The sequence below is a fragment of the Homo sapiens genome, chromosome 12, assembly GCF_000001405.40.
Source record: "Homo sapiens chromosome 12, GRCh38.p14 Primary Assembly".
Lineage (NCBI taxonomy): Eukaryota > Metazoa > Chordata > Mammalia > Primates > Hominidae > Homo > Homo sapiens.
In genome coordinates this window covers 89,028,536-89,039,599 of record NC_000012.12, presented here as the reverse complement: position 1 = coordinate 89,039,599, position 11,064 = coordinate 89,028,536, and the positions used below count along the sequence as shown (strand labels likewise).

Here is an 11,064-nt window from a genome sequence, read left to right as displayed (position 1 = left end):
TATATATATATATATATATATATATATCTGACCTCTGAGGATGGACTGGAACCTGGTCTGTGTCTTATCATCTGCAGACCACGTCAACTCCTTCCTGCAGAAGGAAAGATGGCACCCTTTGTCATCTTTCCAAGTGTCATGCTTTCCAAGTGCAAGCTAAACATGCACTTGGCCCAGGAGCCGGTGAAAGTGTAAGAGAATCTGAGGGAAGGTGGAGTAGATGTAAATCTGGCTGTTGACTCACAACAACAAAGGAAAGTCAGTAGATAACTGACAAAGCACATGCACTGCAGCAGAACCTGGTGCCCCTGCCCAGCCCTTTCAGACATAAAAACAATGTGGTTGCCTTCACCTCCACCTTCTGAATCCCATGCAAAATGTCTTTTGCGTTCCACTCTAATCAGACATTTATAGCAAAGGGGATTCTGAGTGACAGAGTGTAGCTTAGCCAAGTCAACACATGACAAAACTTCCCCATATTGGCATATGAAATGACTGGCTGGAGGTGTTCAAACCATTTCCTCAGAAATCTCTCAACTCTGTGTTTCTCTCTTTTGACTTCTTTCTGAGTCTATTCTCTCAGTTCAGCTTCATAGCCCAGTGGAAACAGAGCTTTTCTTTCTCAAGTCCTGGGCTGACGCTCATTGTCTCTGATTTGCTCAGAGGACATAGCACTCCCATTGGGCAGCCCTGTGTCACTTACCTTTTTCTGAAGTCAGGGTATGGAGCCGGCCCTGTTTTAATTACAGCACTGAGAATATGTAAGAGGTAGTTTCCCAAGAGAAAATCAAGGCATTGGTGAAAAAAAAAAAGTTGATTCAACAGTAATAGTTTACTAGTAAACATAGAAAACTCAGGGAAAGCTGTTGCTGTAAGATATGATTATGCTAAATATGAAAGCATCTGGATGCAGACAGTAATTACTAGGCTGGCATCTGGAGGCCTGTGGTGTCTTCCTGGATGGCTTGTCTGTTATTCAGCTATGTGGCCTTGGGCAAGTTGCTCAACCTCTCTGGAGCTAAATTACCTCCTTTGACAGGGGAAAATGTTAGCCTAGAACCATTCATTTATCAGAAAGCAATTATGAACAAGAAGCCCGTAAAGAGCTTATCATTTAACGAGGGAGACAAACAAGTAAAGTCAGCATAATGGATGCTGTACAGGGAGAGAAAGGAGTGCCTCTTGGAGCAAAGCAGGGTTATTAGGAAAGGGCAGCTGAAGAGAGCCTTTTAAAGAACAAGCAGAAGTTTATTGGCAGATAAGTTGCGGGGAGCTAATTTAGTTGGTAAGGACAGTAGATGAGCCGGTGCAGAGCTGTGAAGGGGCATGCCATATTTGAAGCAAACCTCCAAGAGTTCAGAATGGCCAAGTTCAGGGCACTTATGCACAACCAGCAAAATGTAAGTTTTTTTTTTTTTTTTTTTTTTTTTTTTTTTTTTTGAGGATCTAAGCAATGAAAGTTTTCTTGAAAGTAATGGCAAAAACTGCAATTACTTTTACACCAACCTAATATTTTACTCCATGCTAAGGTGTATGGTCTTCATCCTATAGGGAGTGAGATGCAAAAGAACAATTTTGAGCACAGGAGTCTCATAAGTGATAGTTAAGAAACTAGGTGTCAATGGCGAGGAGAGAAATGAGAGCAGAGCAGGAGATTAGCTAAGAAATAATTTCCGGTATCCACGTGACAGAGGTTGGATGTATAGACTTAGGTGGTGGTATTCTGACCGAAGTCAAGGGATATTTAAAGAGTGACTGTCAAGATGTAGAAATTTGCTGATTGTGAGGAGGGAGGGGGAAAAGTAACCAGGCTCACAACCAGGGTGAAGAGGTGGGAGGCGGGGCTGCTGCCATTCAGAATGGAAAACCTAGAGGAAGAGTAGGTTGGAGAAGGGTAGAAGGGGATGTTGAGTTCAGTTTGGGGAATGTTGAATTAAAATAGCTTTTAGGATGCCCAAGTGAAGAAGCCCATGAGAGCTGACACTTCTATCTAATTCTGAGACTCCTTACTTTTATGCTGAATTCATTTCAGTTATGCAGGTTTACTGATGACATTTTCTGATTACTCAATAGGATATAAGAATACATATTTAATATATATCATGAGGATACAAGGACTTTAGAAGTCGTTGGTAGATATCATCGGTGTGTCTATTTTAATAACCTGTTTTCAATGTTTAATGGGAAGAAAAAGCATGAGATGGATTTCATGATCCATATACTCAAAGAACTAAAATATTCCAAAGATTCCTAATCTCCCTTTAATTTATATCGCAAAGGAAAATCATAGAGTAATAAATAATAAATGTTTAAATAGTTATTTATAAAATGTTTTATCTGCTTTTTATTATCCAAAATGACAGTGTCTATGAAGAATTATTTTGGGTAAAGAAATATGTATTTCTTCAAAATTGCTTTAGATAAGATAGTATTAGCAATCTTCATTATGAGAATATAAAAATACCCCAAATAATCAGAACTTACATCATAGTAAAACACAATCTACAGTCCCATTGCTAATTAGTCATTTTCTTTTTTTAAAAAGAGGCTTTTACTTATAGAATGTTGTATTTATCTCAAGAGAGCAGGTTTGTGCTGAGCCACAGAAGTTCCTTCTAGAGTTATGTCAAGTAGTACTGTATTTTTAAATGATTGTGGAAAATGTATTTTCCTAGCATTTTAGGAGCTCCCTGTTCAAGTTGGGGTCTCTCTGTTCCCATTAACTTTGATTTGATAGAGACCATACAAATGGAACAGACTTGAACATGATTGCAATTTCTCTTGGAAAGGTTCACTGAAGTTAAAACTCACTTTTTCTTGTGTCTCTAATTATCAGAAGCCCAGAAGACTAAATCCTTCACATTCATGTAAGTTTTCCTTTTGGACTCAAGAAGGGAAAGGGACCACTACAGATTCATCCATGATAATGAAGGGAACATCTTGTTTTCCCCATATCTCTTTCTTTGGTTGGATTTATTAGCTTGATTGGAGCCAGTATTTAGTGACTTTTGACAGATTGAAAATGTGGATTCTGTTTGTCTATGAGGAGGAACATAAAGCTGTCATGAAATTGACATGATACCCTGACACAATGTGCTTACATATTCATATATGCCAGGAGCTGTGTTTAAATGCAACTTTCTCATTATTGTTGAAAACTGAACAAATCCTTTCAACAATTATGTCAAGCTGATATACTATTTGTATTTTACAAATGAGAAAATTAAGATTCAAGGACATTAACTAACTTAGGTCAATACTAAGTCAAGTTTGTTTTTATTTAAACTATACGTTCTCTCCTTTAAATATCCTGCATGTGTTAAACCTAGGCATACACACCATAGTTTATACGTGGCCGTGCAAATCAGAAAGAGCCCTAGATTACAAGTTAAATGTAAGGAGTTCTTGTCCTGGTTTCAGTACTGATCACTTAATTCCTCTACAATTTTGCATCCATAAAATAAAAACAATGGCATCTGTATCTGTTTCTTCTGCTGTTGATATGAGGAGCACATGAAATAATGCTAGAGACAGAGTTGGTGCTATGGAAAAAAGATTGAAAGAGTCAAAAGACAAGAATCGACATTCTATCCCAACCACTCTCTTATCAATTCTGCAACTTTGAGCAAGACACTTTACAGTCTAAAGCTCAGTTTCCTCATCTATTAAATGGGAATATTCACCCATAGCCTGCCTATCTTACATGATAAACACTATGTAAATGAAACATGTAATTGTTAGTAAAATTTTAAAAGGTATTTATACACAGAGTTTGCAAGGTATTAGTCCTCTGGGCAGAATTTGTACTGGAGAGCGGACCATAAGTAAAAAAAATATATATGTTCAATATATGTGTTAGTTTTCTACTGTGTACACAACTCATTACCACAAATTAGTGATTAAGCAATAGAAATTTATCATCTTACAGTGTCAGTAGGTCAGGAGTCCAACACAGGTCTCACTGGGCCAAAATCAAGGCAGCAGTGAGCATCAGTGGGACTGTGTTGCTCAATGATGTCTAGGGGGAAAGCTGTTTCTTTGTCTTTTCCAACTTCTAGAAAGTACCCATATTTCTTGACTCATGTCCCTTTCCTTCATCTTCAAAGCTAGCACTGTTGCATCTCTCTGACCTTTCTTCAGTTATTCAATCTCTGTCTGAACACAGCTGGGAAAGACTCTTCAACTTAAATGATTTTTATGATTAGATTGGGACTGTATACATAATCTGGGGTACTTTCCCCATATCAAGGTCTATAAACTTAATCACATCTGCAAGTCCCCTTTGCCATCTGAGATAGCATATTCACAACTTCTGGGAATTAGATGTGGACATTTGGGGTGGGTGGGATCATTAATGTGCCTACCACAATGTGTAACATAATGAAAGTTCTAGTTACAGAGTTACTAAAAAGGGTGATTTTTTCTTTTTTGCTAAATTACCCCTCATTTGATCCCTGATTGAAATTTGATCCAACATTGAGCCCTCATCACATTTAACCTGCCACAGAAATTATATGAGACTATCAGCTTATTAACCCATCATCTCACTAATTTAGTCACTTACTGTCTTTCAAAAGATATTCTCTGATGCAGGAAAGAGATTCTTGGAAGTGCTGCCAGAGGCATCAACTATTGGAAAGAGGAAACAATACAGGAAAATTTGAATTGGAAACTTCTGAATAATATTACAATAACCTTATTTTTTCAGGGTCTCAGGCTATAAGACCTAAAAGGAATGTTAGAGATCAGCGGATCCTAAGAAACTGTATTTCTGATTGCTTTTGAAGTATATCTGCCACACTCCTTGTCAACCATACTCCACAGTTTAAAAAAAAAAAAGGTCTAGTTTTAAAATAGATGTACATCATATTTATTTATTTTTTAAAACTTTTTATTTTGTTTTAAGTTCTGGGATACATCTGGGGGACATGCAGGTTTGTTACATAAGTAAACGTGTGCCATGGTGGTTTGCTGCACCTATCAACCCATCACCTAGGTATTAAGCTCCGCATGCATTAGCTATTTATCCCAAAGCTCTCTCTCCTCCCACCCCACTACAGGCCCCTGTGTATGTTGTTCCCCTCCTTGTGTCCATGTGTTCTCATTGTTCAGATCGCACTTACAGGTGAGAACATGCAGTGTTTAGTTTTCTGTTCCTGTGTTAGTTTCCTGAGGATAATGGCTTCCATCTCCATCCATGTTCCTGAAAAGGACATAATCTCATTCTTTTTTATGGCTTCATCGTAGTCCATAGTGTATATGTACCACATTTTCTTTATTCAGTCTATCATTCATGGGCCTTTTGGTTGATTCCATGTCTTTGCTTTTGTGCATAGTGCTGCAATGAACATATACATGCATGTTTCTTTATAATAGAATTATTTAAATGTATATAATAATATATATAATGGGATATATGTAATGGGATTGCTGGGTCCAATGGTATTTCTTTTTCTAGATCGTTGAGGAATCACTACACTGTCTCCCACAATGGTTGAACTAATTTATATTCCCACCAACAATGTAAAAGCATTCCTTTTTCTTCACAGCCTTGCCAGCATCTGTTGTTTCTTGACTTTTTAACAATTGCCACTCTGACTGGCGTGTGATGTTATCTCACTGTGGTTTTGATTTGTGTTTCTCTAATGATCAGTGATGTTGAATTTTCTCTTACGTTTGTTGGCTTTATTTCTAATTAAGACATTAGGTTGTCAGACTTCTTGTTTGTCATTGCTAGAACTTTGTAAGAATTGACACCAAAGTTAAAATGAACTTATCCAAATTTAATTCAGTGCTTGGTTGTGTCTTTTCCCAGTGCCAATTACAGTAAGATTCTTGCTTCCCTTTATCTAGACAGTAGGTTCCTGTTGATATAAACTAATGCTATATCTGATTCTGTCTACTCAGCCTGGGGGATTAGGGAGACTATAGTTGGGGTTTCACCTAGATGGTGGAGTTTTAGGAGATCCATGACTCTACCAAGCTATGGGACCCATAGGAATGAAAGCATAATCTAAAATCGAAGGTTGTATGTGTGTGTACATGTCTTTACTTTGCGCGTGCATGTTTTTATGTGTCTTGGAAGTAGGGTGGGGTTTAAGGCCAGAGAATAGTGTTCAAACTATCTCCATAAAGGGAAAAGCTTGGGAGGGACATTTCATAAGCTAGAACACAAGCCAAGGAACTGAAGGCCATCCAGAGTGGTATAGCTACAGGTGATAGATCATGTTAGTCAGGAGAAGGCAGAGGACTCTTTTACATTAACACACTGTATGCAACAGAAATGATAGCTAATCTCCATTTAAGACCAATCCTGTGGTTTGGGCAGGTGGCAAAAAATTCTAGGAAATGGTGATAAAAGCTGAAGTCATGTGGGTCACAGTATCTTCCTTCTGTGCAGTTAGTCCTTTAGGACCATGACTCCCCGCTAGGGCTTATAAACAGAATTCAGACCTTGGAGAGGGTTATGTAAAGGCTAGTCAGCGAGCCAGTTTCCAAGACAGGAGGTGATAGGATTCAGGGCATGTTCTTCTACCCGTGGGTAAATAGCAATGCCAATCCAAAAGCCAAAGCTGAAGCCTAGTAACAATGTGGGAGCCAAAAGGATGGGAGGTGGAGAGAAGGCCACAACTCAGTACAAACGTTCTGCTGGAATCCTGGATTCTTGGATGAATCCCACAACCAATGCCAAAACCCTTTCCAGAATATCCCAATGTGCTTGTTTCCTGGGTGAGAGATGGCCCACCAGAGGAGCTGGACTGAGTGAGTCTGGGTGAAGGACCATAGTACTTGCAGCCCCATGAATGAGGAAGGCAGGATCTATGAGCAGAGCCCATAGATCTATGTCTACAGCTGTCTTTTTATTCCATGGAACCAGAGTAGCCTCACCCTCTTCAGCTTCTTGTAATGGAGTATCTCCTTCCAGCACTTCACTGAAACTCCTTCTTTGAGGATCACAAGAGCTTCCCAATAGGTAAATCCAGAAGATTTTTCTCAACTCCCATTTTCTTTTTGCCTCAATCAACTTGATTGGCCAAGCCCTCATTACTTGACATTTTTCTTCCAATTCTTTTTTTTTTCTTTGAGATGGGGTCTCACTCTGTTGCCCAGGCTGGAGTGCAGTGGCACAATCTTGGCTCACTGCAACCCCTTCCCCCCAAACTCAAGTTATCCTCCCTCCTCTGCCTCCTAAGTAGCTGGGATCACAGATGCATGCTACCAAGCCCAGCTAATTTTTTTTTTTTTTGTATTTCTGGCAGAGATGAGGTTTCATCATGTTGCCCAGACTGGCCTTGAACCCCTGAGCTCAAGTGATCCACCCACCTCAGTCTCCCAAAGGGATGGAATTACAGGCGTGAGCCACTGTGCCCAGCTCCAATTCTTTCTTGTTCTCTACATCTTTGGTTAATTACTCTCTCATGTAGGAGAGCACCTCTTTCTCATTCTCCTGCAAGAACATTTGTGGGTTCTTGTGACTTTGCCCTTGAAGACTTGCTCTTCTCCGCTTTTACTCTCTTTTCCAAGATTTCAGTTATTCTCATGGCTTCAATTATTTGTTCTGCATGGATGATTGCAAAGTGTGTACCACCAGGCTTGACTTTTCTCTGTTCTTTTCAGTCCCATGTAGGAACTTTGTTTGGGAGCAAAATAATGATATATACAATATATAATGAAATTAGTATGTTTGAATTTAAATTAAGAAGATCCAATATCTGAGAGAAGCTGTGCTGCTGTACCCCCAAATAGGCAAAAACAGTGAAATTTACAAAGAAATTAATTCAACACAAATAGGTTTCTTTAAGATAGAGTGGATGGTTATTTTTTTCATTTTTCGATAAACTTGACCACAGAAACTGAATATATATCTCCTTCACACAAGGAAGTTCCCCACAAGTTCAGTTTAGTATCACCTTTATCAGGATGCAAGATTTTCCCATTAGGCTTCCCCTGCTTTGATCTTGTCTATTAAGGGGTGAGGGCCCTTCTATATATCCAGGATTGTTATGTGGCAGGAGGTCCACAAGAAATGAGTGTGAGCCCGTCTCCGAGACAGTCATTCTCTTCATTCTTTGTATAATACAGCAGAAGGTTCTTGTTTCTCACCCATCTAAGCCCTCCTCTCCGTATAGTTCTTTTAAAATTGCTCCTCTGCTTTCTCTCTCTTCTCCCGCTTGGATCATCCTAGAGGTAAAAGCCCTGGAAAAAATGTCTCTTAGAAGAGAAACTGCAGCTGGCACTGAGGTTGGCAGTTCACATTAATAAACTTTTGGCAGTTTCAGTGTTGGCTAGGGGGTATTAGTGCAAGAGAAAATACACAGAACAAGGTTAATATTTTTAGCTGTAAACCTTCTAGATATGTTTTATGCATGCTTGGTAGAAAATCAATTACTATTAGAGTTATCACCAGGGAAGGGCAGCAAGGGCACCAAATAAGGTAGTTTAGACCATCAGACCACCCCAACAACAAATGACAAGGTCTTGGAAATGTGGGGAGGTGGAAGTATATGCCTAATTTGGGTGGGAATGTAGGTAAATTGATAAGCTTGCCAAGGGGATGAGACTGGGTAGGAATTTGTGAGGATACAAAACAAGAAATACAGACTAGAATGTTCTTGGGTTTTATACAAATATATAATAAAACCAGCACTGAAAACATAATGTCAAGCACTCTTCTGAATGTACTCTATGTATTACCCAATTCTCACAGCAGTTCTGTAAGTGACAAAGTATATACATTTTACAAAGGAGATATTGAGACACAGAGTAAGTAGCAGAGCTGGGTCTTTGAACTAGATCTCATAATCTTAATTGTTACACTATGATCCCTGTAAATCAAAGAGTGAGAGTTGGATAACTTCTGGGGTTCTTTCATCGTTAATAAATGATGTGACTGTCTTAGCTTGGGCTGCTATAACAAAATACCCTAGACTGGATGGCTTAAACAACAGACATTGATTTCTCACATTCTGGAGGCTGGAAGGCCCAAATCAAGATACTGGCTGATTCAATTTCTGAGGAAGCCTCTTCCTGGCTTACAGACAGCTGTCCTCTTGATGTGTCCTCACATGGTGAGAGAGGAAGCTCTGATGTCTCTTCTTCTAATAGGGGCATTAATTCCTCATGACCTCAACTAAACCTAATTACCTCCCAAAGACCCCATTTTTTGCTACCATCGCACTGGAGGTGAGGACTTCAACATATGAACTGGGGAAGCAGAGGTGGAGACACAAACACTCCATCCATAACAGTGACTGTGTTTTCTCATGGTATTATCTGTTTTGCATGGTTGACAATAGGGCCTGGAGGACACTGTAGAAGAGCAGACAGAGACTCAGGCTTGATTGCCTGGTGCCATGCGTAAGCCAGCCCAGGAATGGAGCAATCTGAGCAGCTCACTGCCTGGATTTCCCTCCTTGCCCTTCATGTCATCCTGGAGACTTGAGCCCTCCTCCGGGAGGGAGAAGAACAAAGGTTAGGGTTAGCACTGCTCACTTGAAACTTCATGTAAGTAACTGCTAAATTGAACACATATGAGTCATGACAAAATCAAAGTGCAACATTTTTATCTTCTGCCATTCTTTTATATATTACTCAGTGGGGGCAATCTTCTCTTGCCTCCAGAGAAAGACTCCAGAATGTTCCATGGTTTCTGCCCATTCTTATTTAATGGACTAATGGGATAACACTCAATTTAAGTTGCAAACAGTGTAATTTTAGTATTTAGAATGCGAAGCTCCATAAACATGTACTACTTCAGTGAGTCCTTATGACCCGAAAGAGAACATCTCATATTTTCTTCACAGAAGTCTATTTAACAGCAAAAGAGAGAAATCGGTGTATTCCTACGGGGAGGGTCTAGTGTGGGTTCTGGGAATGTAGTCCTTGTGTAGATGCAGCATGTAAAAGTTTTCTTTGATAGTTTATATTTTAACTTAAAAGTTTGTATCAGTCTTTTACTTATCTCCATTAGGTATCAGTATTTAAGAATGATACAGTGTTAAAAACGATTAACTGGGGAAATTATTACACATTTCTTTTCCCTCCCTCCCAATCTCTGAGTGTAGTTCAGAGTCTAAGAAAACACTTTGTGCTGGCCCTGTGATGTTGTGTTATCCCTTCAACCTACTGCCTGCCTCCGGCCTAAAATGCGCAGCCCCGGCACAGATGACAAATTTTAACATCTATTTAAAGTCTGTGATAGACACATAGCTTTCTGTTGTGTAACTTTATTCTAAATAATAAAAAAAAATTATGGGTACATAGTAGGTGTATGTATTTATAGGGTACATGAGATGTTTTGATACAGGCATGCAATGCGTAATAATAGCATCATGGAAATGGGGTGTTCATCACCTCAAGCATTTATCCTTTGAGTTACAAACAATCCAATTATACCCTTGTAATTTAAAATGTACTATTAAGTTATTATTGACTATAGTTATCCTGTTATACTATCAATACTATACTTCCTGGATTTCTTTATAAGCTTAAAATATTTCATATTCATAAAACATGAATAAAAAAAATTAAAGCAAAATTCTCCCAAAGTACTATCTATGAATCCAGACTTATCTCCTTATACTTCTCTTATAGTTTCTTGAATAGAGTGTGCAAATTTATGATATCAAAGTTTTACTTATTGCATTCCCTGGCATGGAATTTTATCTTTCTTTTTTCTGCTTGTCTGAGTCTCACCCTTTTTGTGAGACTCAATTTAAATTTCATCTCCAACAGAAAGCCATGCCAGATGTCCTTAATCCTCATTAATCACTTTCTATTCTTCTTTTTTATACTTTTTGTGACTTAGAATGTCAAGTATTTTATTTTTAAGCTTATAAAATTTGAAAACAAGATAGCCTAGGTTAAATAATATAGTATCCAAAGCTGAGTGTGCTCATTTAGAGCTTTTTCTCTGTTTGAAAATACAAAAACAACTTCCTAAAACTCCTAGGTGAGAATACCTCTGTTTGGATGATCTGTGATTAGATGAACTGTTGATAACATTCCTTTTTTCCTTAGTAAGTGTTTCAGAAATTCTAGAATAGATGCATTTTTGTAACCTTA

At 38.6% G+C, this 11,064-nt stretch overlaps 1 annotated feature.

The window, feature by feature from the left end:
• Window positions 457-526: an enhancer, noted in NCBI's record as "active region_6703". NCBI's record gives its function as "activates an Ori minimal core promoter by ATAC-STARR-seq in GM12878 lymphoblastoid cells {active_cell/tissue: GM12878}" and the evidence as "EXISTENCE:reporter gene assay evidence [ECO:0000049][PMID:35858748]".